At 51.4% G+C, this 27,463-nt stretch overlaps 1 protein-coding gene across 11 annotated transcripts in view, besides 4 other annotated features; it reads right to left on the bottom strand.

Moving 5' to 3' along the window:
- The window catches only part of EEFSEC (eukaryotic elongation factor, selenocysteine-tRNA specific), a 272,743-nt gene that overhangs the window by 83,793 nt on the left and 161,487 nt on the right, over positions 1-27,463 (bottom strand). For 7 of the 11 annotated variants that reach the window (NM_021937.5, NM_001437814.1, NM_001437812.1 and 4 more), the window contains one exon: positions 542-1,198. In NM_021937.5, coding sequence (NP_068756.2) covers positions 542-1,198 — 657 coding nt within the window. Of the gene's footprint in view, positions 1-541; positions 1,199-1,292; positions 1,446-6,538; positions 6,668-27,463 lie in introns of those variants that run through there. The other 4 variants (XM_024453695.2, NM_001437809.1, XM_024453693.2 and 1 more) reach the window with 3 other exon arrangements.
- Positions 6,588-7,207: an enhancer, noted in NCBI's record as "H3K4me1 hESC enhancer chr3:128054067-128054686 (GRCh37/hg19 assembly coordinates)". NCBI's record gives its function as "activates a minimal SCP1, AML or CMV promoter by ChIP-STARR-seq in naive H9 embryonic stem cells {active_cell/tissue: H9 hESC(naive)}" and the evidence as "EXISTENCE:reporter gene assay evidence [ECO:0000049][PMID:30033119]".
- Positions 7,208-7,829: an enhancer, noted in NCBI's record as "H3K4me1 hESC enhancer chr3:128053445-128054066 (GRCh37/hg19 assembly coordinates)". NCBI's record gives its function as "activates a minimal SCP1, AML or CMV promoter by ChIP-STARR-seq in naive H9 embryonic stem cells {active_cell/tissue: H9 hESC(naive)}" and the evidence as "EXISTENCE:reporter gene assay evidence [ECO:0000049][PMID:30033119]".
- Positions 17,271-17,565: a silencer, noted in NCBI's record as "tiled region #3031; K562 Repressive non-DNase unmatched - State 23:Low". NCBI's record gives its function as "represses a minimal TATA promoter and a strong SV40 promoter by Sharpr-MPRA in K562 cells {active_cell/tissue: K562}" and the evidence as "EXISTENCE:reporter gene assay evidence [ECO:0000049][PMID:27701403]".
- Positions 25,654-26,206: an enhancer, noted in NCBI's record as "H3K4me1 hESC enhancer chr3:128035068-128035620 (GRCh37/hg19 assembly coordinates)". NCBI's record gives its function as "activates a minimal SCP1, AML or CMV promoter by ChIP-STARR-seq in primed H9 embryonic stem cells {active_cell/tissue: H9 hESC(primed)}" and the evidence as "EXISTENCE:reporter gene assay evidence [ECO:0000049][PMID:30033119]".

Below are 27,463 nucleotides of genomic sequence, written 5' to 3'. Positions count from 1 at the left end.
GCCACCATTAGCCCCTTCCCCTCAGTCCACAGGTGAGGAAAGACCTGGCCTGGCACCACTGATGGGCAGTGTTTCCCTCTGGACATAAGCAGCTTGCAGGGGCACATGGGCAGATCCCAGCTGGATGGAGGTACAGTGCCCACCAAGGTCAAGAGAGTGGGGCCTGATCAGGGCAGCAGGCCAGGGAAGCCAGTGCTAACCGCTGCCATCTGACACTGGCTGTGGGGGAGCCCAGACCTGCTCAGACCCATGGGTGCCACATCTACCATGTAAATAAGTGGGGGTGGGATAGCTGGGTGGGATTGGGTACAGTGGGGGTCCCCCTGCCCAGGTGCTGGCCCTGGCTCTGTGACTGACCAGCTGAGAGAACTGTGGCCACCTGACCATTCTGGGCATCAGATGCCTTGTACAGAAACTACAGAGGTTGGCACCAGAAGGTCTCTGAGGGCCTTTCTGGCTCTCATCACAGATGTCAGGCCATGGATCCCAGCTGCCCGAGCAAGAAGGGAAGGGGTGTGGGGCCAGGCAAGGGCATGCTCACCCGCTCCACAAGGCCATGCTTGTGCTTCAGCTTGTACACCTTCAGCCTGGGCAGGAAGCTGTCGGCGTAGTTCCTGTCCTCTAGCCCGTGGAGCAGGATGCCATGGAAGGCTAGCCGGCACGTGTTGGTGTGAATGTCCGCATCTAGCCTGGAGCCAATCACCAGGCACAGCCGAGGGCAGGTGACGGGCTTCTCAAACTCCACCAGGGCCCACTGCTGCCGAGGACAATGGCCCTCTGTGGCCTGGCCGGCCTTCTTGTCGGCCTCATCATTGTCTGTCACTGCTGGTGTCAAATCCTTGGACAGGTACTGCTCCTGGAAAAGGTATTCTTGAGAGAAGTTGAAAGAGTCCAGTATAGGCTCCTGGTCAAAGTTATCTGGAGCAGGACTGAAGAACATCAACCGGCCCATGACTGTTTCATGGCCCACTGTAATGTGGAACTTGGCCTTGGTTTGCAGGGGCCCCCGGAAATACGGTATCTTTTCCACAGAGATGAGGGCCGCATGGACAGTGTGCAGGGACTCGGGGGCACACACCAACCCGCGCTCCAGCAGCTTAGGGTCAAACTGGGTGACGCAGATGCCCAGCCGGTCTCCTTGCATGGCTGAAGTGATGGGCATGTGGAACATCTGCATGGACTTCACCTTCTTCACCACCTGATGGGGAGTAAGCAAGAGAGCACATGAAACCAACAAGCCTCGGGGCTGTGGGGAGGAGAGGGGAGCTGCAGCTAGAGAATCCTGTGCTTACCACCACCTGCAGGCACCGTGAGGACCAGCCAAGGGGGGTCTGGGGCCCAGGCACACTCTTCTGGACCAGAGCAGGTACCACACTGAAAGCACAAGGCCGAGGGCCGCCAGCAAAGCAGGGCCAGGGCCCCACTCTCCAAGTCTCACTGTTCTTCTGGGGGAAAGGCAGGGGTCATAGCAGCCAAATCCCTGACTACCTTAGTTCCCTTCACCCCTGCTCCAATCCAGGCTCCAGTCCCTCCAAGTTCCTCCCTTCCATCAATCATGCTAGCATTTTCCAGCCCTCTGTCCAGGTTTGCCTGCCTCCTCCCCCAAGAATGGCCTCCCCAGCTGCTCAGCTGGCCAAGCTGTGCCCATTTGCCCTCTAAAGCCCGGGACAAACACCACTGCTCTGGAAAGCCTGTCCCAACTCCCAGTGGCAGAACTTGACCCTGACTCCTTAGTGGTAACCCAGCCCCTCTGAATCCCACAGCCTGCTGCATGGTCACTGTCTATTGTGTATCTGCTGCCTGCTGGCTTGTGGGTAGCCTAGGGCAGGATCTCTCTTCATTCATTCAACACATATTCCCAGAGTGCCTATTGTGTGCCAGGCACTGTTCTAGGGGAAGAAATACAGTGACCTCTGTTTCCAAAGAGCTTAATATCTTGAAACAACAGCAACAACAAAATTACCTATATAGGAAAAATTATATATATTAATTCAATTCATATCAATATAAAATTAATATATAAATTACATGCATGCAAATATATATTAATATAATTATATAATATTAATCTACATTAATATTATATGACTATATTAGACAACATATGCTATAAAGAAAACAAGGCCAGGTGATGTGATAGAGAAGGCCTGGGTGGGGTAAAGGTCTCGAAGAAGTGAATTTGAGCTAAGACCTTAGCATAAGAAGCAGACAGCTGTGTGAAGACCCACAGAAAGACAGCTCTAAATGGGGCAACTGATAAGTGCAAGCCCTAAGAGGGCAGTAGCTTGGTGAGTCTGGGAATACACCGAGGCAGGAGGGCTACAGCAAGGGTGGGGAGGGAGACAGCAGGGAGGGAGGCTGATATGGTTTGGCTGTGTCCCCATCCAAATCTCATCTTGAATTGTAGCTTCCTTAATTCCCATGTGTTGTGGGAGGGACCTGGTGGGAGATAATTGAATTGTAGGGGTGCTTTCCCCCATACTGGTAGTGAATGAGTCTCACTAGATCTGATTGTTTTATAAGGGGAAACCCCTTTAACTTGGCTCTCATTCTCTCTCTTGCCTGGTGCCATGTAAGACGTGCCTTTCGCCTTCCACCATGATTGTGAAGCCTCCTCAGCCACGCAGAACTGTGAGTCCATTAAACCTCTTTTTTTTAAAAAATAAATTACCCAGTCTTGGGTATGTCTTTATCAGCAGCGTGAAAACGGACTAACACAGAGGTCAAGGCTCGGGCCCCACAGTAGAGTGCAAGGCCCGGAAGTCACTGGAGGAGTTTAGGCAAAGGAGTAACCTGATCTTATCTCTGTTTCTAAAATATCACTGACTACTATACTGGGCAGATTTCTGCATTCACAGTTTGTAAATCAGGAACAGACATAGAAAAGTCTCCAATAAAAGTTCCTGAAATGAACAAACATTCCTACCTATGATCCACTGTCTCTGAGATGAGAGGAAACTGTTCATGGATTTGAAGCAGAGAAATATGTAACATATTTCAGAAGACCTGCCATCAAAAATAGTTAAACTAAAGAGAATTTTGACACTTAGGTTGCAAGCATCCCTGTCTACCGAGTCAGGGTGTACGAACACTCATTTTCTCCCTGGATAAAGGGAGAGTGTGTTGCTAATGGCCCATGAGCCCAGGACCTTTCCTGGAGAGCCATAATACTCAAGTGTTTGTTTAAAGATCATTAACTACCTAACCAGAGGTCAGGGGGCAGAGAAAGTGAGACGCACAGTGTCAAAAGCCACAGCCAAGATCAATCACAAAGAAACAGAAAACATCTCTGAAATGGTCTGAAAAGGCAATAGGAGAATGAGATTTTTGGGAACATTACTCAGAGTCACTGGAGAATATCACCTTACACTAAGCGTCGTCTGCCCAGTGAGGTGGGGCCCAGGTCACAACTCTTCCCTCCCAGGCGCCTGCAGCAGCCTGTGCGGCTTTCTAAAATGTTTCTCTGATAAAGCAATTGTTTGTCACCACCTCCTTTGTGGGCTCCCATCGTCTACCTCATGGCTTTCAAAGCTTGTCATGGTCCTGCCACGAGCAGGAAGATCCTCTGGTCAGCTGGAATTCTATGGGGACTCCCTGTGATGGGTGGCGGTCTCCTGGTACCCCCTCCACCGCCCCACAAGGCAATCTGCTGAAAAGCCTCACTCACAGGGCTGAGCCCCCACTCCTTAGCTCAGCCACCAGGAAGCCTCCACCATGCAGCCCAACTCCACAGCCTTTTCGGCCCCACATTCTCCCCAACCCTGAAAACGTAGCCAAGGGACTCTTGAATGAATCCTTGTAAATGCTGTGCTTCTGAATGTCTCTGTGCTTTGCCCCTGAGGCTGCTCCCTGGGATTTCTTCCACTGGCAAATTCCCATTCGTCCCTAACCCCTGCTCCCATGGACCTCCTAGAAGGGCTTCTCTGATAACTCCAGACACAGCTGACCATCGGAACCTGACTCACTGTTTGGTTACCACTACTTTACAGGTCAGCCCCAGCCTCTGTGTGCCGACAGATTTAAATTATATACGAAACACCCATGAGTTCATTGCCCTTTCCGCCCCTGAACTACATTATCGATAACTCATACCTACCTGTGTGGTCCTCCCCACTCAGCATTCCCACCTGCCCCAGCGGGAGGGTGCCGCTGCCTTGAATTTGGCGCACAGCATTCCCTTTCTTTTTATACACACGTGTGTATGATTGTGTAAAGGCTCACTACATATGTAGTACACATTCCTAATCAGTAATTTGCTTTGTTGTATAAGTTTCTGAACTGTATGAATAAGGCATTGTGCCAGTTATGATACTAAAAACCTGTGCACATAGTGCATGCACCTGCAGCTCATTTGCTGCCGATGCCATCTGCTGCACCTTGTGTATTTAGCACAACCTGGACTCCTATCGATGTGCACTGGGGGTGTTTCCAGTTCTTTGCTGGAAAATGCTGCAATGAATTTCTTCTGTCACAAGGATCCTGCATGGGCACATGTGCAAGGGCTTCTCAAGGACACAGTTCCTGGAGTTGAACTGCTGGATTGCAGGGTGAATGGCTGTTCAACTTTGCTAGGTAGATAAATCAACTTCTATCAATAAGGCCCAAGACACCCCATTGATACACGTCTGCTCCAACATTTGGCACTGCTAGATTTCTTAATTTTGGCCTATCAAATGTGCATCTCTTCCCTTCTAAATCCCGAGACAAGGACTGTGCTCTCCCTATGCTGCGTCCTCAGTGCCCAGCACAGGAGCTGCTGAGAAACCTGGTTGTGACAGGTCCAGATAAACGCCCAGCCGCTCTGAAGAGAGTGACTGCATCAGATTCTGGAAAAGAAATGCCCCTTGTGGCAAAATCATACCTGGCAAAGCACCGAGCTGAGATTCCAGACGTGCCGGGGCTTGAGCGAGATCCTTGTGTTTATGAGCCTTCCTGTGAGAGAGGGCGGCCAGGGGCCTCATGCTGCCCTGATGCCCCTTCCCCCTCCTCCTCCCCATCAAGCCGAACGTCAAGCAGGCTTTATTCAAAGCATGTTCTCTTTTCAACAGGGCTTGTGTTCTCAGGACTGAAATCATAAAGAATGCCTTACCAGGGCACCATGAAGAGCACAAAGATAAATAACTGTGCAAATCAAGATTTTAAGGGCCTAGACAGGAAATTGTGCAGCAGATAAAGATGGGGACAGGGCAGCATGGCACTCCCATGGGTTCTCACAGGCGCATGCAGACAGCATTGCCACACGGGGTGGTCAGTGAGCCCACGCTCACTGAGGGACGCTTCGGAACAGAAGACCCATTTAGAACACCAGAGATAAAGAAAAGTAGATAATTTTACCAACCTAAGAATGAGAAAAACAGGCTTTCCTTTTAGTCATTTATCTTCTAGCCAACTTTGAGGGCCTCTCTCCATCTACTGAATAACTCACTCCTCAAACATTCGCTAATGTCCACGGGGCGCAGCTGAGGTGGCGCACGCACATTCTCTCAACACGTGGGTAGCAACCTTCTCTCAGGACCAGGCCCAGGCTCTGGAATGCCAGCAGGACGAGCAAAACAGATAGTTTTAGACAGTTGGGTTCTATAAAGTCTGCTGTCTTCTAGAGAAGAAAGATGTTAATTAGATCACCACTGAATACATGAGGAATTATGAAACTGTGGGAGGTACTGTGAGAAAAAAGGATGAGGCTGTATGAGAGCGAACAACTGGGAGACCTAATTCATTGTGGGTAGTCAGGGAGGACTTCCCTGAGGAGGTGGCATTGGAGCCAAGACCAGATCGGTAACAAACCACCCACAGGGATTCCAGGCAGAGGGAAGAGCAGAGCAGGCCTAAGGCCCTGGGCAGGGGAAGAACCAGGCCCCCAGTGGAACTGCGGGTGGCAGGGCTGGCTGAGGTGCGGTGGTCCAGGGAGGCAGCAGGTTGGAGACATGGGCCAGCCACCATTGCCATGGGACAAAGCACCAGGAAGCCACCAGTGATGGGGCACAGGGGATGGCAGAGGAATGACACTGCCAGTTTGCGGTTTTAAAAGATGCAAACTGGCTATACAGTTTGGGGAATAGATTCAGGGGAGGTAGAGAAGTAAGAAAGGAAACATGGAAATTAGCAAGGAAGATACTCAGAGTTCAAGACATATTTTGGTGGTGACAGACTAGATGTGGGGACAAGGAGAGACTGGTGTGTAAAGAACAGCTGGTGTGTAAAGAACAGCTGATGTGTAAAGAACAGCTCCCAGGTTTCTAGTTTGAGGATCTGCCTCATGCTAGGTGGGAGCAGGGAGGAGCCAGCTTCAGGGGAGGGGAGCTGGGAGTTCTGCAAGTAGGAGCTGTCTCTGAGGCTGCCAGAGAGACACAGACGTCTGAGTTCCAGGGGAGGTGGAGACTGGAGCTGGGAGCATACAGACTTACACCCAACTGCCTCTTTGAATGGCTGACAGGCATCCCAGCTTACTACGCCCAGAACCTAAAGTCTCCTTCAGCCTTCTGCTTCTCCAGGGCAACGCTCTGATGTCAGGGGAAAAGCTGGGGCTTCCACCCACCTGGACTCTCCTTGTCCTCTTGTAGCTGTAACCAGCCATCAGGAGACAGGGTCGGCTCTACCTTCCAAGTAGGTCCAGTGCCTGACCCCTTCCTGTCCCTGCACTGCCTGCCCTGGTCCCAGCCTCACCTGGCTTGGATTGTTGCCCCCTCCCCCGCAGCCTGTTCTTCCAAGAGCCTGTTCTTCCCCACAGCCTGTTCTTCCTGTTCTTGGGAAAACACAGATGATGTGACCCTGGGGTTTGCCTCCAGGCTCTCCACTGGCCTCCCATCTCACTCTGTAAAAGCTGAAGTCCTTTCCAGGACTCACAATGCCACACAGCCCCCGTGATGTCTCTGACTTTATTTGCTGTGACCCCGACCCACTGTTCACATCCCTTCAGTCATGTGGGCCTTGCTTCCCATTCCCTGAATGTGCCAGGCATGCTCCCACCTCATGGCCTCTGCACCTGCAGTTCCTCTCTTCCTCACTTCCTTCCCATACCTGCTTGGATGCCACTGTATCAGAGCCCCTCCTCAGTCACCCCACCCAGCAAGAGACAGGCATTGGCCTATCCCTGTCACTCTCTAGCACCTTGCCCACTTGGTTTTTCATCATAGAGCTTCCCAACGCTTGGCATCCCTTTGTTCACTGGCTGTCACTCCCGCACTGGAATGGAACCTCCATGAGGACCAGGCTTTGCTTTGTTTTTTTCCATTTCTATCTGCAGTGCCCAGCGCCATGCCTGGAATGTGGGAGGCCTCAATGCAAGTGGGAAGAGTAACTGAAAGGAGCCAAGCCACATGGGCCCTCTTTTGGGGAGCTCCTCCTGGGCCCAAGCTCCACATTCACAGCTGCAGGAACAGGGTGGTCCTGGGGCTGGCCAGGCCCTCAGAGGATCCACAAAACCCCAAGGGTAAAGAGTCTACCAAATGGGAGGATAGGGCTGGGGCCTGCTGCCCAGGGGCCCCCAGTGTCCCAGGCGGGGTACGCAGTGAGAAGGGCAGCAGAGAAGGCTGGGAGGTGGAATGGGGAGAGGTGCTGCTGCCCTATACCACCATGGTGGCCTCTGGGAGGTCCGTCCCCTGAGCCTAGCTCCCCAGAGGGCATGGGTGATTGCAGAGGCTCTCCCTCACATCCTTCCCATCCCTCCAGCACCAAGCACTTCTGGGGAAGGAGGGAGGGAGGAACACATCAAACAAGCAAACACTTTTTAAAACTCAAGTTCGTGCTTGCTAAGCAGTTTGGTCCTTTCTGATTAACAAAGAAGCTTTGCCATCCTCTGGGTCAGTTATTCTTCATAAAAAACCCCACAGGCAGGTCAATATTTTGACATTCAATTTTATGGATGAAGAAACAGAGGTTTTTGATGTCTCCAAGGTCACAAAACAAATAGGCTGAGACTTGGGACGATAAACGCTGGGACTGCAAGGCAGGCCTGATGTTCCACGGCCTCAGCTCTGACAGTCGAGCAGAACCACACCCTGCCCTGCCAGACTCGGGGCTCAGCCAGTCAGGGTGCTGGCAGCAGGCAGCAGGCAGCTGTGGCTCCTGAGTGATTGAACATGTAGAGCCCACACAGCCTGAGCCCAAAAAGATGGCTCCTGGGGCAGAAGCAGAGAGGGAAGACTCAAGACAGGGGACTCCTCGCCACCAGTGTGACTCTCACATCAATGCCAATGGGCAAGTAAGATGAGCCCCCTTTCTCGGGTGAGAAAGCAAAGCCCAGGACAGTCAGGCCTGCCTCGAGACTCAGATGTGGCAGAGGCAGGTTCAGTCTAGGCTGTCTCACCTGGAAGCTCATGCCAGCAGCTACCCTGGGGAAGGTCAGCAGCAGCCCTCTCCCTGCTGGACTTGCCCATGGAGTTTTCAGAGCTAACTCTCAGCTGCATCCCTCCCTCCCAACCTCCCATGTTTCCTGTTTTTGAGTAGCACAATATGCCCAGTTTGCTGATCAAGTGGATGAGAGAACAAATGAACACCCCCTTCTGACTGCTCCCAGGCCCGATGAGCTCGATACTCCTTCTGGCTTTTCGACTGTCTTTCAACTTAGCTTTCTGGTGTTTTGAGGATTCTGCATGGTAGTGTGCCCAGCATGATCTGGTTTCCCTTTACCATGCACTTTCTGAGGCTACTGAAAACATCCAGCAGGAACAGTTTGAGGTGGAGTCATCCTGTGCTCATCTCTGTTCTCCACAGCATCTTGCATGAAATAGTAGGCACTCAACTGAAGTGCACACGAGCTGCATTATGTTACCACAGGGCCGATATGGAAGATGGAGAAAGAGTTGGATACCTATGATGGGGAAAATCTTTACACACCTGATTCCATTCACTTCTAATGATAGTGGCTAATGATGATCTCACTTTACAGACAAGGAAATTGAAGCCCCCAGAGGTTAAGACATTTATTCAAAGCATGCAATCTGCCTGTCATTAAAGCACATATTCTCTTACTACATCACACCAGAAAAACACACTCCACCACAGAAGTCCAAGATGAAACACAATTCAGCACAGCGATATCACTAACATGGGCACTCCTTCTGTCAGGTAAGAAATGGACAGCCCACACCATCACAACAAACTTTAAAGGAACAGCAGTGTTGGGGGGTCCCTCCAGCATTTTACAGAATCAACAGATGCTTGAGTGAAGCAGGTAACAGACTTGTGCTTAGCAGCCTTTCTAATGTGCAGAGATTTTGTAATAATGTACCAGCTATAATAAGATTGGACCTCTATTATCCATTTTGTTCCACTAATGAGCCTGGAAGCTCCTGGTTGTGCCAAGGGCTAGGGTTGGGACCTTGCAACTTCATCATTACTTAATAAAATGTAAATCGGAGAGGAAAAGAAACACACAAGGTTTGACACTAATAAGCTTACAGCAGGATCAGTTACTTCAATTCAAAGAGGTTCAGGCTGGAGGGGAAAAATGAAATAAGCTTTTAAAGATCAGTCTAGGTTTGGCTCCATCAGACCTAACCAATTTTGTTTAATAAGGTTCAATTTGGCTGCTCTTATTTCTCCCTCTTCTTCGACCTAGGCTGGGTACAGATAAGACATTTTCCCCCGCCTAATGCATTTAATCACATCTCACACACAACAAGTCAAACCTAGGGCTGTGCATGAGGACAGAGCAGTATGGGCCCTGGAGACTGCCAGCGCTGCCCCTGCAGGTTGAGATCCCAGCTCCCCAGCACCACCTCTGGGGCTGCGAGAGGGAACCTCAGGTCACCTGTTCAAGACCAGCCTGGCCAACATGGTGAAACCCCAACTCTACAAAAGTATAAAAATTAGCCGGGCATTATGGCGGGTGCCTGTAATCCCAGCTACTTGGGATGCTGGGGTGGGAGAATCACTTGAACCCAGGAGGTGGAGGTTGCAGTGACCCGATATTGCGCCATTGCACTCCCGCCTGGGTGACAGAGCGAGACTCCGTCTCAAAAATAAAAAATACTCAATGGAGCACTTTGGATTTTGGATTTCTGGATTTCAGATGCTTAACCTGTTAAGTATATCATGCTAATATTCCAAAATCCAAAACAATCTGAAATCGAAACACTTCTGGTCCCAAGCATTTCGGATAAGGGACATTCAACTTGTATAGACTTATTAGTGTAAACAGTGGCACCATGTTTGTAGTTAATTTACTACTTGCCTCCCTCCTGCAGCAATATATTGGTGACATCTATTCATATTTGTGTGTGTGTATATACATATATATACTACCATACACATGTGTGTGTATATAACATGTGTATATATACACACATATATGCAGCTGTCAAAAAACATACAATAACATATATATGGTATTCTTTTTTGACAGCTGTATAGTATTTCTTTATATGTCATTTATCCATACCCTTAATGGACATGTGAGTTGCTATTTATACTACTAGAATGATTTCACGGTGGCCATTTCTTTATACATCAAATTGTATATATACATAGGGTTTTTCTAGCATAGATATCTGGATGAGAAACTGTGGTGTTGTGGGACACAGTTTCAGTTTTACTAGATCTTGTAGATTTTTCTCTAAAGTGGGTGGTTACGCTTCCACCAGCAGTACAAGAAATAACCTCTTCCCCACACCCTCCCCAGCACCTGAGGCTGCAGGCCTTTAAATTTTTGCAGTCTAATAGATAAGGTGTGCTGACCCATTGCTATCTTAGTGTGCAGTTTCCAATTACCAGGAAAAAGTCTCTCCTAGAAGGGGTCTCTGGAGTCTCCCCAACATCTACTGTCCCACCCACAACTCCTAGGGGTGGCAAAGTGCATGTACCTCAGCCACTATGTGAGCCAGGTGCTCAGTGACACACACAACTCTTTAGGAAGGGGAGATGCATGGAGGAGAAGGGGAGAAAGGAAGGGGGATGCATTGAGGAAGGAGAGGGAAGAGGGGAGATGCATTGAGGAAGTGGGGAAGAGGGGAGATGCACTGAGGAAGGGGAGGGAAGAGGGGAGATGCCTTTAGGAAGGGAGGAAGAGGGGAGATGCATTTAGGAAGGGGGGAAGATGAGAGATGCATTGGGGAAGGGGTGGAAGAGGGGAGATGCACTGAGGAAGGGGGGAAGAGGGGAGATGCATTGAGGAAGGGGGGAAGAAGGGAGATGCATTGAGGAAGGGGGAAGAGGGGAGATGTACTGAGGAAGGGGGGAAGAGGGGAGATGCACTGAGGAAGGGGAGAAGAGGGGAGATGTACTGAGGAAGGGGGAAGAGGGGAGATGCACTGAGGAAGAGGGGAGATGCACTGAGGAAGGGGGGAAGAGGGGAGATGCACTGAGAAGGGGGGAAGAGGGGAGATGCATTGAGGAAGGGGGAAGAGGGGAGATGCATTGAGGAAGGGGGAAGAGGGGAGATGCACTGAGGAAGGGGGGAAGAGGGGAGATGCACTGAGGAATGGGGAAGAGGGGAGATGCACTGAGGAAGGGGGGAAGAGGGGAGATGCACTGAGGAAGGGGGAAGAGGGGAGATGCACTGAGGAAGGGGGGAAGAGGGGAGATGCACTGAGGAAGGGGGAAGAGGGGAGATGCACTGAGGAATGGGGAAGAGGGGAGATGCACTGAGGAAGGGGGGAAGAGGGGAGATGCACTGAGGAATGGGGAAGAGGGGAGATGCACTGAGGAAGGGGGAAGAGGGGAGATGCACTGAGGAAGCGGGGAAGAGGGGAGATGCACTGATGCCCCCTGCCCCCTTGTGCCCAGGCTGGGCTCGGATTCCCAAGCGTCAGTAAGGCCCTTGCACACAGCGTGGCTAGTGTTACCTGGAGCCCCACAGGAACACTGCTGCCCTGCCCAGCTCTCCTCACCCCTGTGGCGCCCTGTACCCAGCTGAATCCCACTCACTGAGACCTCAGGGGTCCCCCGACCAGCTCACAAAACCTGTTCTGAGTCTCCAGGCAGACCAGGACGCTCCTTAAGCCCCGTAACCTGTTAGCATCTGTCCAGTGTGTGCCTGTGCGCTCTGTTGTTTCCTGGATCGGGCAGACAGCCCCAGGTAGACAGGCTGGGTTTATTTTGCTCACCACCGATCCTCAGCACAGTGCCTGCCACATGGGGCACACTCTGAGAGGAAGGGAATGATCTGGCTTTCTACCATGTGGCCCAGCAAAGGCCCCTGACCATCTGTGGCGACCTTACAAACAAACCCTCGTGATTAACCTCCCAGTCACTGCAACAATGGAAAACCATAAAAGTGACAAGGGGCCTACCAGGGAGCTTCACCAGGGAGCTTTACGCTCCTCCTCCCAGCCACCCCAAGTATTTGCCATCCCATAAAACTTTAAATGAATTACAGCAATGCTGGATTCTTCTGTTTTCTATACAACTGGGACTTTGTTTTTAATGACATCCCTGGGCTTTTTAGGGGGTAAGGAATCCTTGGGAGGTAAGCCAAGGGATCCAGCTCTGTTTTCAGGGCTGAGCCAGAAAAGCCATCACCGCCATGGAGCAGTGAACAGTACCTCACCTGTGGGCCCTGGGCCTGAGCAAAGAGCCCAGGTGGGTCTGGGTCTTAAAGGAATGGATCCAAGGTGGACAGAAAGATCCCCACAGTTCCAAGGCTACCCTGTCCTTCAGCCAGGTTTATGAAAGCCCAGCACTGGCCATGTCCCTCCTATGTGTGGCTCCCACAGCTCCCGCCCCTCAGGGCAGGCTGCTGGATGGGCACACAGGCCTGTGGCCATCTGGCTGGCTCCTGAGCACTCCTCAGCACTGCCCTCAGCACCCTAAGCTTGGGCCAAGTCCAACTCATGGCCTAGAGGCCCGATGGTGCCTCCCAGCCCTGTGCCTGGGCAGAGCTGGCTTCCTGACTGCCAGGCCCCTCCTCGTCCTTCCAGCCTTACTCCAGCTAGAGCAGGTCATGCTGCCTGCCCACCTTGGCCCCCACAGCCCCCGCCACTTGACCCCCACTTTATCTCCGATACTTGCTATGTAGCCATGCCTTTAGCTCCTGCCTCCTGTCCAGACTGAGAGCATCAGCGGGGGTGGGGGGGGGTGGGGCTGGGTGGCACTAATCTCCGTCCCTGGCACAGAGGAGCATGCTCAGGAACGTCCGTCACACTCAACTGATGATCCCCTGCACCCCAGTGCAGCTGTGCAGGGGCAACATCACTTGGACTCACATCCTGCAGGAGCACTGGCCTGTGGCTGCTGGCACCAGAGCATCAGCAAGGCTAGACAAGGGTATGACCAGCAAGCCAAGGGCAGAGACAGGGGCCCCAGGGAAGCTGCCCAGCAGCTGAGCCTGGGCCTCGCTCTCCCTCCGTGGGTGCTGGAGGGGGAGTGGTTGAAGGCATTTGGGTCCATGACAGTAATGATAAGAAGAAATAGGGAAGAAGAAAAGAGAATCATCACTGTGACAGTGAGCAAGGAGGGTGAGAGGCGGGGTGCCAAGGATCACACTGGGACTCAGTCATCCAATTGAGCTGCCACTGCGAGCCTCCTGAGACACAGGGTATCCTATTCCAAACCCAAATCCCAGGGACTGAGGTGGCTGCAAAAGGGGGCTGCTAGGTCTGGGATGTATTTTCAAATTCAAAATTCAACCTGCCACTATTTCTTGAGGTGGATCAAAGAAAAAGGAATGCCACCTACATTGTTAATCCCTGTAAAACGGCGAGGCACTCTCACCTGGCACGGTGCTGTGGGGCCTCAGTGGACACTGGATACAAGGCTCGGAGCCCCAGGAGGCCAGCCCCACCCCCTGAGGGGCAGTTCCCTATGTGCCACCAATATGGCATAAAAGCCCTTGTAATCCAAGGGATGTAAAGCAGTGGTGACCCTAAGAACTGACTTTCTCTCTAGGTTTATTCTTTTGCTCATAATTTCTGTTTATTACAACTTTAGCCTTACAGACAAGAAACTACAAGAGCTTTATGACATTCCATTGTTATCCTTACAACTTGCTGGAAGGGCAGGCATGCAATGGGCTTACGGCCCACTCCTTGGTCCTGGGGTGCACCAGGGCATCTAATTTGCACCCCACACCTCATCCCATGGCCTGGACCTTGCCTACCTGCATTCTGACATCTGGACGGCGCATGTGGCTTGAGGCATGGGCTCCTTTTACTCCACAAGATGGCTGTTAGACTGTGATTCTGTTTAGAGCCAGAATCACCCCTGCACTCACCTCCCACCCCACTTAGGCCTGGCCCACTTCTGTGGGTGCCCACTGTCAGCAGTGAGCATGCTGGACTTGGGGCCAGATTCACTGAGGTTGGAGCTGTGGCTCCAGCTCTGAGCTGTGGGCAAGTTCTGTAACTTCTAGACTTCAGTGTCCTCACCAATAGACTAAGGGTACCAGGTCCTAGCCACAGGGATTCTGTGAAAATTGAAGGAGGCAGCATGTGCCTAGGGTCTCCCTGAGCCCTTGTAAGTACCAAGTCCTCAGTGAACTGTGGTGGCCCCCAGCCCTTGTTCACGGTTCAAGCCTCAGCCTTTGGCTCCTTCCTCATGGGCGCCCTTCCCATAGCCCACGAGCCAACAAATCCCAGAGTTCGCCTGCCTCACACCCACAGTCTCTTTCTGGTCACTGGGCCTCACTTCTTGCTCAGACACCCATAGCAGCCGCCCCCTCCTCCATGTACTGCCAGGCCACTTCCCTAGTACAGAGCCTGGGTCAGGCTAGGTCCTCAATGAAACCTGCCAGGGCTCCGGGTGCCCTGGTGCTCACCCCTGGCCTTCCTCCTGCATCTGTGCAGTGCTCTCCAGAGCTCTGGGCTGGTCTCCCAGCACACTCCCTGCCTCTGCCCTACTGTTTATCCATGTGGAATGCCTTCCTGCACATCTTTCCCAGCACTCATTCTTCATGGCCCATCTCCCTTATTCCTTCCACTGGCTTTAATTCAACACGCTCATGTAGCACCTACTCCATGGCAGGCCATGTGCTGGCCTTGGGATGTGGGGGAAGCCATGGCCCTTGTCCTCCGAACTCCAGACTCACTGGGGAGACAGATGTATAAAGTATATTTAGAATATGATGTGTATTCATATTTCATTAGAATATGAAAGTATTATGAGGGAGGCAGCAGAGAGGAGGACATCTGAATTGGGTCTGGAATGACAATGACATACAAATGAGATCGGGAGAGAGGGGGACAACCTTGGGGGGGGGGGGATGGGAAAAGTGCAGGGAGGTGCCAGGGCAGGTCTGAGGCAGAGTTCTTGATACCTCCCAGGAGAGCGCTGTGCAGGTGTACACAAGAAGATGGTCAGTGCAGCACAGGGAATAATCACAAAGACAGGGCAGCAGTCTGAAAGTCCATCAGTGGGGACATGGCGATGTGTGACATGAGGTGTCCACACTGATGAGCACACGTGGGGGCAGGCAGTGTGGTAGCTCTGTGTGTAGTGATGAGGCAAGGTCTCTGAGAATCCATGTGGGGCATGGCCAGAAAAGTGCAAACACTGCTCAGAATATGATGCCACACATTCACACATTTACACAACAGTGCTGTGCATTTCTGTGAGCACAGCGCATAGAACAAGGGTTTGGAAGGTTAAACCCAAAAGAATTAACAGGATCTCCTCTAGATGAGAGGCCAGGATGGGATGTGATGCAACAGGCCTCCTTTTCCCTTAACTGAAAGGTTTCAGTTTTGCTACAGGAAATTCATGAATTGATTGTGTGATTAAAACTTAACTATTTAAGAATAAAAAGACAGATTTTCTAGTCAATTAAATGTAATAGAATCCAGTTCCAATCAGTTTACTCAATACAGACTGACAGTCTACTCTGAGGCAGACTCTGGGGGAGGCCAGCCCTGGGCTGAGAGGAGGAAATGGAGGGGTCAGGTGCTGGGAGGAAGAGAAGCACTTCTGAGCCTCCTGGCTGGGTCTGTCACACTGCTGGCTTGAGTCTCGCCTTCCCCAGCAACACCTGGAAGCCACCACCATAAGATGAGAAGCCAGAATGCCCAACCCACATGAGAAAATCGAGGTGCTCCTTGCTGAGGTAACTGGCCCAGGATGGGAGACTATCTTTTCCCTCCATCTACAGAAACAGCTGTACCACCTGCCAAGATGGGGTGGGCAAAAGAGATGGTGGGAGTCTCTCAGTTCTCCACAAAATAAAAAGGGCAATGCAGTAAAGTGTGAGGTGCAATCCAAGCTTCACGCAGTGCCTGGCCCAGCAGCCAGAGAGCAGGAGGGCACCACAGGCTGGGCCCAGGAGCCAGGCACTCTGAAGACACCAATATATTTTGTACTAAACTTGAGCGCACCAGCCCTAACTCTGAGGTGCCTGGGGGCAAGCATCTGTTCCTCACTGCAGTTGTCTGGAGACAATGACAAACCCCTCATGCTTCTATCCCTCAACACCCCCTCCAGATGCTCCCCCAGCACCACACAAGATCACACTGGTCCAGCCTTTCTGGAATGCTCTCATCATTTCTACATTTCTTGTCCAAGAATTCCACCTCAGGGAAACTCTCCAAAAGTCAAAGGTGGATCACTGGAAATATTCACCTTAGTATGATAAAATATTCACCTTATTTAGGATAGGCAAAAGATGGAGACAATCTAGCTGCCTAACAATAGAGGAATGGCTAAATAAAACAGCAGGCAAGGTGTTACATAATAAAATATATGAAGCACTTTTATCAGCATGGAAAATGTTTTCTCTGTAATACTGAACCAATAATCAAGGTATAAAAATGTATTTAAAATACAGTCTTAACTATAGTTAAGGGGGAGGTTTTTTTTCCCAGTTTCTTTATACTCCACAAAAATGTCTAAAGTAATCACACATTGCTTTCATACATGAAGAAAAGGTTCAAAAAGAAATACCTAAACTAAAAGAGAAAGACCATCCCACCAGGTTGTAGCTCGGTGTTGTGCCTGGCTCCTGAGGCTGCAAAGACTCTTAGGAATTCCTCCCCGTGCAAACATCTTCCCGGAGAGCCTGCTGCAGAACAGGCCTTCTACAGGGCACCTGAGACCACTCTCTCCAACCTCACCACCACCTGACACCTGAGGAAACTGAGAGTCAGTAGCCTGCCCAAGGCCCCTCAGCTGGTAAATGGTGAAACTCAGACCCAAGCCCAGCAAGGCCTGACTGAAGTGGGAGCTCATTTGGCCACAGCAATGGCTGGGCCTGAGGCACAGAGGCTTGGGTCCAAATCTGGAGCAAAGTGAGGAAGCTGTCACAAAAGACAACTTGGATGTCCTCAGCAAGGCTCAACAGGGAGATCACTTCCCCCTTCCCCCTTCCCCAGGAACAAAAGCCTGGCTGGGTCTGCACAGACTGTATGGCACGGGGAGCAGTGACAGCTCTGGGCTCCAGGTCCACTCTGGGATGATGCATCCCACCTTCAGGCAGAGAGTAGGCCAGCGAGGGATGTTGGGGGCCTGCCCTGCCTGTGTGAAGAACAAGTGCACGGACTGGCCGTTATCTCTCTTTGTTATGAAGCTTCTTTCTAACCATGAAATAGAGGTCAAGGTACAGTCTGTCTGGGACGGAGAGGCAGCCTTGAGTTTGAGGTCTGGCAACAGCAACAGGAAGGTTACCCTGTGCTAAGGATGTTTTTCTCCTCTCTATTTTTCTATTTCTTCTTTTTCATTTTCCAAGTTTAGCCTTTAGTATTAGCATATTTAAAACTTTAAGGAAACATTCAGTGTCTCAATCTTAAACTCAAACAAATCACCTGGAATTAACTCCACCAAAAAGAATTGAGGGCCTGGTACAGCCAGACCATGCAAAGCCCTAGGCCTACAACTGTGCCCCACAGGCGGGCAGAGCAGCTGGTAGAAAGTGCACTCTTCTGTCGTGCAGGATGGAATGGGTTGGAAGTTGGCTATCAGAAAATAAAAGAGCAACTTTCCCCTCCTGGATCTCTCTCTCTCCTCCCTGGGATCTCTCAGGGAAAGCGCTTAGTAACTCCATGGAGTAAGGCATTCATTGAACCACCTGAAATCTGTATTTTCCATGGGACCTGGAATCCTCAAGTGCAAACAGTGTGCTGACACCCCAACACATGGAGGGCCAGGAAGTCCTGAAAGACAGCATGATGTGTTTCTCTTTCCCACAGAGAAGCCCCCCACTCCATGGCAGAGGAGAATAAATCCCTGAAGCTGACTGCTAGAAGCACAGAAATTCTTTGAAATACCAAGTTTTGGACTTTAAGATTCATGGAAACTTTGCATTCTATGTCATAATAGATTCATGTTTGTTTTAACATAAAAGTGAGGTTTGGAATTAACTGCCCTTGGGAAAACTGACACTGTAGAAAACTCAACTGCTGGCCCTTCGGCATTCAGCCCTGGGGCACATGATAGCATTCACCCCACTCCCAGCCCCAGACCAAAGAGTATGCAAGGTGAGGATGAATTCAGCTGAGGGACCCAGGCCGTGAGAGGTCCGTGTCCATGGCTACACGTGCCTCCTTCCCCAGAGCAGATGGAGGCCAGTGGGGAGCCCACCGCCCCTTCAACGGTCTGGTTTCTGCAGCAAGCCTCAGCTGAGGGAGCCCCTGCCACAGGGGGGGAGGCGCTCAGACTCAGAGATACACCTGTACCTTCTGATCCTGCATCCTCACTCTGCTGAAGGAACACCAGGCTGCTCCAACACAGGCTGACCCTACTGAGAGGATGGGCTGGCATTCAACATGGCAGCCGCCCAAGTGATTTTCCAGGGTCATGTTTACTCTCCATGATCTGCCCTGGGGGCTGGCTCCTTCAGGGGAGGAAGTGCTCCAGCTCTGGAACGAATCATGCTGGCTGGTTCTACTGCCTCCTGGCTGGCCAACTTTGGGCTCTTTACCCCAGTTCCCTTGTTAGTAAAAAGGGGATAATAACACCCGTGGGGCTATGGCGAGAAGTCAAGGCCAAGCACAGCACCTAACACTCAGGTAAGAGTAATTCGTGTTAGGATTGACAGAGTGAAATTAAAAGACTAGGGCTGGGAGGGCAGGGAAGCACTGCACCTGTGAAGTGAGGTATGCTGTTTCCAGCACTTCAAATAACAAAGGTCAGTTCCGGGCCAGAGCCGACAGAATGGCATGGGCTCCACCACAGCCCAAGGAGGATCCCTTCGTTCCACTGTGTCTGACCCTCAGGGAATCCGCCTGGAGAAAACGGCTCCAAGAACTTGGGTAACCAGATGGACTCAAAAGGAGGCTCGGCTTCTGCCAGCAGTTCCCATTTCCCATATGCAAGAGATCCCTCCAAAGGTACAAGCAAAGCTCAGGGCTGACAAGTGTTTTCCTGGTTATCTGGAGAGATTTAGCTAACTAAGTATGTGAACTACCCCTAAGTGCAGAAACCAGTATACACCACTTATGTGACAGCTCTTCCCAAAAGCTGTCATGCATTCAGAAGTCATTACCCTGAGGTTGGGGTGTCAATATTAAATATCTTAAAACTTTATCAGTTGTAGCTAAGGTTAATGGAAATACTTTAAACATGTTAAGCAAATACTCTGAATGGGAAAATGCCAGGAAATACTCTGCCCCGGGGTGGGGTAGAAAAGCAGCCCCCACCAATCTGCAGAGTCAGAGGGTACTTCCTAACAAAGTGACAGCTGGATGTCAGTCAAGCAAAGAAAGACCAGAGGACCAGCAGGGGCAAAGGTGGGGACGGGGTGGCAGCAAGGTCCAAACCACCCCTGTGCTTCGGGCTGCAGACCCCAGCTCTCCCACAGCTCTCACTGCCCCTGTGGCACCTCCTGCTCTGGATCCAAAGCCTTAAAGGGCCCAGGGAAGGTGACCAACCATTAAGGGCCACTCTGAGTCTCTGCCCCATCAGCTCAGCCGCTACTCTCATGTCTGAACGGCTCACAATCTCACATGTTCTGGCAATGCATTAACGGATGGGACTTTGGGCTAAGGTGGGCCCATTCAGGCCACGGATGCCACAGGAAGCTGATGAGTGGCCTTTAGTGTCTTTAGGTTCTCAAGGCCCAAGAGTAAAGCCTCGAAACCCCACCAGGCTGTCAGCCTTGCTTCCTTTGGGAGCAACACTTTCCCTGGAGGGAGTTGGTGACAATTGTGATGACCGTGATGATGATGTCGGCAGCAGTAATGACAGCAACTAACATTGACTGAGCACTTGCCCCATGTGGGCACCACACTGAGGGGCTCCCAGGTAGGGACACGGTCCCTCCACAAGCTGCAGGGCAAGTAGGCGCAGGCATGCTGGCTTCAGTCACTTGCCTGCCATCACCCAGCCAGCAGGTGGCAGAGCTGGGATTTGAACCTGGACGGGCCGTCATGGCAACAGCCCCAGGAGAGACAAATGCAAGCTCCTTCCTTGACACATGTGCCCCAAGCTGGGCACTGGGGATTCTCAATTCATGGGGAAACTGCTCCTGCTATAGAGGGGTACCAGCCTGGGGAAAGGCAAAGTAGCCCTAGAGTACCAGGATGGAAACTCAGTGAGGGGACAGAGAGGAGCGGTGCTGCTGTGTGAACGAGCACTGCTGCTCCCCCACGCTGGCCCTCACTCACTGCTTCTCCCCTCACTGCCAATCTGGACATCTTCAGCTCCCAGCTCACTGCCTCGGGAGGCTCCCCAGTCTCCTCTAAACCCCTGCTGTCTTCTCACAGAGGCTGCTCCTCAGGTCAGCCTCACCACTTGTGGTGACAGGGCCCACTGTTGTTTAAAGTCTGTCTTCCACATGGCACTGGACATTCCATCGGGGCAAGGATGGGCCACCAGTGCAGACCCAGCAGGCAGCCCAGTGCTGGCACCTTATCTTACTGAATGGAATACATGCTCCTGGGAAGGCCCTTCCTGGGTGGAAGGTGGATGAGGGGCACAGTAGGCAGGGGAAAGCCAGTGCAGGGACAGGCGGGCGCCCATAGTGAAAGGCTAGGAGTGCCGTGGCCTGGGCAGGCAGCAGGGGCCCCTCCAGCCTGTCAGGACAGTGTCCTAGCTAGCAGGATGCACCCCATGTGGTCTGCCCAGAGACTGTCCTGGGGGAGTGAAGCCTGGGACAGAGGCCTGAACAGGAAGGGAGAGGGACAGGTCATAAAATCCTTGCCTGGGTCCTTCCCCCTCTCCACCCACTGTGGCTGCCCCCTGAGGGCCAGCTCATGGAGGCAGAACTTGGCAGCAGCTGGGGCAGCTCTTCTTCCCTCTCAGAAAATGTAAGCCTGGCACATGAGAGCAATTATAAATCTGAAAACACACAAGCAGAAAGCCAGTTCCAAGCCAGCTCTGACAGGGCCCTGGCTCAGCTCCTTGCCCCAGCCCATCCCGGGAGCACAGCACTCTCCCCCAGAGCTTCCCACCTGTCTCCCACCTTGGCCTGCCTGACCCTGCCTCTCCCAGTCTCTCTGAAGCTCCACTGCCTCTCAGCAGCCTTCCAAGGCTGCCTGGCACCCCCAGGGCCTCCCACACATATTTGTGCCATCCCTGCCTTTGTCGCCACCTCCACTCAGGTCATCAGCACTGGGCAGTGTTCTATAAGCTCACATGGATTAACCTACTCAATCCTCACAGCAAGCCTAAGAGGTAGGTCCCGTTATGTCCTGCATTGTACAGGTGACCAAACTGGGGCCCAGAGTTTGGGTGACTAGCCAGAGGCCACTAGTCCAGCAGTGACGGAGTGGGGCATGAGCCCAGGAAGCTCCCGTCCAGGAGTCTGCAAACCTCCTATCTTCCTCATAGGGCCAAGCCAGTTCTAACACTTATACACTGGTGGAGTGGCTACCGCCTTGCTTGTTTGTCCTACAGGGACCTCCTCGAGAGAATGGTCACTCTAATTCATCTTTGCATCTGCCACACCCAGAAGGGGGCCTGGTACGCTGCCAGTGCTAACAACAGTTCAGTAAATGAGCAATTGATGGCAAGCAACCTTTTCTCCTCATAACACAGTGGTTAGGAAGGCAGGTTTTCAAGTCAGACTTCTTGGGTTCAAATCCTTCATATTAGCTACGTGACCCCAGGCCAGGGATGTCACCTCTCTAAGTTCCCTTAAATGGAAAATGTACCTAACTAATTGGGCATTTGTGAGGTTACATTGAGATAATCCACGTGAAATGATTAGCATGGTATCTTTAAAAATTAGAAGTTGTTCAATATAAATTAGCGATTAAAACTACTACTGCTACTATTTTATCATCAATAAAATGGAGATGAGCATCCCAACTTCATTTGGATTATGGTGACAATGAAAGTAAAAGAGATAAGCTGTGTGCTGCACTGGCATCAAGAAAAGACTCAGAGGAGTGGCGCTCTGCCCCAGTGCCCTTGAAGCCTACAAGCCAGGGGGCAACAAGCTCTCCTGGAGAAGGTGACAGTAAGCAGTTTAGGCTTTGGAGGCCACACAACCTCTGTTGCAACTACTTGACTCTGCCATTGCAGTGCTTTATTTATCAAAACAGGTGGCAGGCTGCAGTGCGCTGACTCCTGCTGTGCACCGAGGCAGGACACTGTAAACAGTGTCCTATGAACAGGAACACTGACCTGCCCCTATTGAAGCCAGACACCCAGCCAATCAGCAGGGCCAAACCTGTGCTGCCAGCAGCAGGTGCTGTACACACGCCAGGGGCCAGCGGCAGAACTGAGCGTGTCTGCAGAGCAGGCCTGCAAGAGGGGCTACTCCCTTGGCAGCCATTTCCTGAGCACCTATTATGTTCTGGGCACACAGGACAGAATGAGACACCATCCCTGCAGTCGAGAGGATGGCAGCACAGTGCAGGGACAGCCACATAAACAGAACATGGTGTGGCATTCAGATCGTCTCCTCCTCTGTGACCTGGACGTAAGAATAGTGCCCACAGCTTGTAAGGCAGAGAGAGGAGTGCATGGAAACCCCTGGTTGGTCACTGGTGTGCTTATTATTCTGACCTGTCTCCTAGGAGGCAGAAGGCGATGGGCAATCCACTTGAGATGACTTTCAGAAGCTTAAGGGCATACGCTTTGTGCAAAGTCTGTTGAGGGTAGAACCTGTAACACACAGGCCAACGTGAGTCATGTTATATCGCAAATAAAAATCGGCCCATGAATATACATAATCCCCCAGGTAATTCTCTCAATCTCAGAACGGTAATGGAGCCACCCTCGCTCACTGAGGCATGAATATTTACCATCCTCTGGCTTTACTGCTCTCGATCTGGCTTCAATTTTGCAAATTAAAATGAGGGCTGTGTGGATAGAGAGATTACAGGAGAGCCTCTGAAGCCTGCTGTCCCCTGGTGAGGCAGCAGGCAGGGTAAGCTGGCTCCCGCCCGCTGGCCTGCTACTTCTGCCTTGAGGGTCAGGAGCCACAGAAAATGGGACAAGGGGTTGGAGGGGGGTCAGGACCTCAGAAAAACACAGTGGGGAAAGGAATGGCACTTAACATGAAACATGTTCCAGGTGGGACAGGTGTGAAAATCCCCAGGCTTTCTCTTTCTGATGGTTGAGAAGAATTCCCGAGGAGCCAAAAGGGCAGAAACTTCATGTGTTGCACCCTGTCTGAACCTAGATTCAGACCCTGTCCAGGACTTGAACACCGGCAAGTCATTTCTCCTCTCTGGGCCTCTGAGTCTTCATGGTACAATGGGGTAAAAACCGCCTTACTCCTGCAGGTGATGTGAGGATAAGGAGCTGCTGTACACGCAGGTGCCTGGCCCAAGTGCTCCCTCGGTGGCGAAGCCAGGCATCAACCGCTGCTCGTCTACACATCTGCCATCTGTTACCTGTTAGTACACGGCCACTCAGGAAGAGGAGTGGGATACTGTCTGTGACACTCCAGGCAAGACCAGAATGGCTTGCCATGGGCAGCCATGCTGGCAAATAGGTGACACTGACTTTGTTACAAAGGGAGCTGCTTGCAACCAGGGCCACCAGGGACAGCAGTCCGCAGTCTCGCTGGACTTACAAATGGCTGTGGAGAGGTTAGGGAGGGGCCCGCCATTTCTAACTGGGTCTCTGCCATTAATTAGGAGAGAGAACCAAGGGTCCTGTACCTTCTGCTGTCCTGGGTGAAGGGTGCAGGGAGAAGAGCATCATGTGCTGGAGCAGGAACGGGTGGGACAGGGAGCTAATGGCTGCTGCCTGCTGGCAGCTGGCAGACCAGGACATCTGTCCCCACTGCACAACCTGGCTCTCTGGAAACCAAAAGCCAGAGATGGAAAACAGTCACTCAGTCCACCTCAGTTAAAAAACCAGCTGGAACACAGTCTATGAGAAAGTTGTCCCAGCAAAACTTTGCAAAGGACAGCACTTGCCACTAGTCGAGCAACAACTATGTTCCGGGCATTGGCTGAACCCTTTCTAACCCCCCTTGCCTCACAGCAGTCCATCACGGGAGGGCGCCATGCAAGCTTCATGCAGTCTCACCACCAGCAAGTGCTGGGCCAGGGCAGGCTGACGGCCTGGCTCTCCCCACTGTGCCAGATGGGCTCCTGTCCACAGAGCCTGTTGTATGCCCTGTACTATGCCATGTCTAGAGAAACAGGGGACCAGGCACAACTCCATCCTGCCTCTGCCTGGAGTGCACAGTCACCTAACAACCAGTTCCCATGGCCCACATGGCAAGGGCTGCCCCAGTGTGGCAAGGAGGGTGGGGGAGCCCTGAGAAAGGAACCATGGTTACCACCTGGCAGGGAACTGGGAGGAAACCTCAGAGAGGAGGGGACATCTGTGCCAGGCCTGTGGATGGACGGAGCAGCTGGAGCAGAAGGCTGAAGGGGGCAAAGGCCCTGAGGCCTGCAGAGGGCCCAACTGGTCAGCAGCCGGCGAGAGAATGGTACGTGAGCACAAATGGCTGCAGCTGAGGCAGGAGCCAGGCAGTGCAAAGCCCGAGGGTCAGGCCAAGGAGCTGGAACTCTCCTCTGCCGGCAGATGAATACCGTGAGATGCCACACAGGGGTGAGGAGTGATGAAGTACAAAGGTCAGAACGACTCCAGTGGTAGCCCGGGTGGAAAGAGGACTGATGGGGAAAAAGACTCTGGGCACAGAGCAAATCGGAGCAAACTGTAATGACAGGAAGAGGACGCCAGCCCCAGAGGGGCCCTTGTGCTGATCCCTGAGCATGTCCACAGTTCTCACAGTGTGCCTGGCATGCAGCAGCACCAAGCACACGCTGAGGGTAGGAAAGGCCAGAGTGAGCGTCTGAGCTCCAGCAGCGGGGCGGAGAACAGGCCAGGCTTACAAGTCTGGGGACGCACTGCATGTGAGCACACCGTGTGTATGAAGGAAGAAAACCCACGGGTTCTCCTGGCCTGGCAGCAGACAGCCACAGACCTCCTGGGAATGCTGGCTGTCGTCCCCCAGCCAGCAGCACGCACTGCTTCTGCGGGGCCCTTGCTGCCCTATTGAGGCCTGGTACCAAAGGGTTACTGGCTCTGCTTGGAAAACTCTAACCCCCAGCCTGCCAGAACGTCTTCTATTTTTCTTTCTGCTTTCTTTAAGACCCCAGATGTGCTCTTGCACATCAAAAGAGAGCAACTTATAAAGTTAAACTAAATCAAGGGCTTTTGTTCTGAGGCATCGTGGCTGAACTAATTATTCCTGTATGTTGTTTAATGAAATAGTGGTGCCATATATTAAACCAGTTAACAGGATGAGCACATGAGTTACAAGGAAGGTCGGGGCTGGGATTATAAATTTAACTTTTTCTTAAGAAGAGATGAAACAAACCACTCAACTCCCTGCTGTCGTATGTCATGGGAGGGGAAAATGATGGCACTGAGCAGCATAGAGGGAGGGCTGTGCCCCGGTTCACGGTGCTGGCGGCACCGAGCTGGGCGGTAACCCCACGCTGCTGGCTCACCGCCCCAGGTCCTCTGTGCTGAGCTCCAGGCAGGCTCAGGGCTCACTCCTCATCCCCCACGTGCCCTTGGTCGCCAGATCTTCAGCCCACGTGACAGTCCTCCGGAAATTCAGAAACAGCCCTAAACCACTTCACACATGCTGAGATGCTGTGCAGCACACTTTCCCATAGCCAAAAACACTGGAAACCACGTGCCTGTCGATCATAAGGGGATGGGGCAAGAGTGCAGGAGCGCTCTTCTGTGGACCAGGATGCAGTGAGTGAAGAGAGGGGGAGAGCGGTAGGCATCGGTATGAGATGGTTCTGCTACATGCTAAGTGAAAACACTGACATAACAAACAATGCCTATGACAGAAGCCTGTTGTGCTTTTTATTCCTAAGTGTGTATATTAGGGTGTGGTGCATTTGTGTGCATTAAAAAAGGGTGAAAGAACACAGAGCATGCTCTTAACACTGGCTTTCTCTGGGAAGTAGAATTTTAGGAAACTTTAACTTTACCTGATAGTGAATTAATTATTCACAACAAGCATGTATTTCTATTATAACTGAATAAATACCACGCTCTTTGAAAAATAAATCCACAAACAAGCAGCAATACCTCTGCGCCACAGACTAGAATTAGAAGGGTGATCAAAAGGACTTGGTCTTTTCTGGCAATGCATAAAATATCACAATAAAAATATATTTCACGTACTACTTGCATAATAATTAAGAAAACATTTAATATTATGCAACCAATAAAATGGCAACAAGCTAAGAACTTTCAAAGATATGAGGACATATGAAACAGTGGTACCAGAATGCATCAGAAATAGTGACATTATATTTAGTAACAATTAAACATAGTGATCTCCACTATACAAATGTATAACATATAGCATAGGAAGGTGAAATAAAGGAAATTCATATAAAAGTTATCACTAGAATTATGGCCAATTTCTTTCCTTATAAACCCTGCCAAGGTGACACCACTGGCCCTGACGAGTATGCAGTTTTCAAGAAATGGAGCTTTACACTCCATACCACTGACAGTGTGCAGGGACTTCAAGCCCAAGGATGGCTTCTGACAAATAACTAATTGGCTACAACACAAGGTACCAATGGTAGACTCCCTCCCTCCCTCCTGGGCCTCCCCAGGAGCTCAGGCCCTGGCTTCTGGCAGAGGCCATAGCAGCCTCAGCATGGCCCTCGGGCACAGGCTCTGCTCAATACATCTTATTGGCCGTGTGGCCTTGAGCAAGGGCCTTACTCTCTCTCAGCCTCCATTTCCTGAGTATAAAGGCATGGAGGGTCCTACTGCCCATGATTACAAGCAAACTCAACTGTGGTCATCAATTCAAAGATCCTGGCTCACAGAGAGGGCTCAGCAGTCATTTTATTTTTCTGCTGATAATAATAGTGATATCTGACATGCATGGAGCACATATCACATACCTCACCCTGGGCCTAAGTGCTTTACATGCATTAACCCATTAATCTCCACTACCAATGAGGCAGGTACTCTTATTATCCCCCACTTTACTGCTGAGAAAATTAAGTTCCAGCAGACATAAATATCTTATCCCAAGTCACATAGCAAGGAAGTGGTAGCATTGATAAGTCTGGCTTCACAACCCAGCCATAATACACCACACTCTATTGCCTCTTTGATGTAAGTGTGGGCTCCTGTGTGTGTGTTAGGGAGAGACATTGGCTTCCCAAAGGCACATTAGGAAGCAGCCCTGAAGAGCAGGTGGTGT

This window comes from Homo sapiens, chromosome 3, assembly GCF_000001405.40.
Source record: "Homo sapiens chromosome 3, GRCh38.p14 Primary Assembly".
Lineage (NCBI taxonomy): Eukaryota > Metazoa > Chordata > Mammalia > Primates > Hominidae > Homo > Homo sapiens.
The sequence above is the reverse complement of the archived record's forward strand: the minus strand, read 5'-3'. Positions and strand labels throughout refer to the sequence as shown.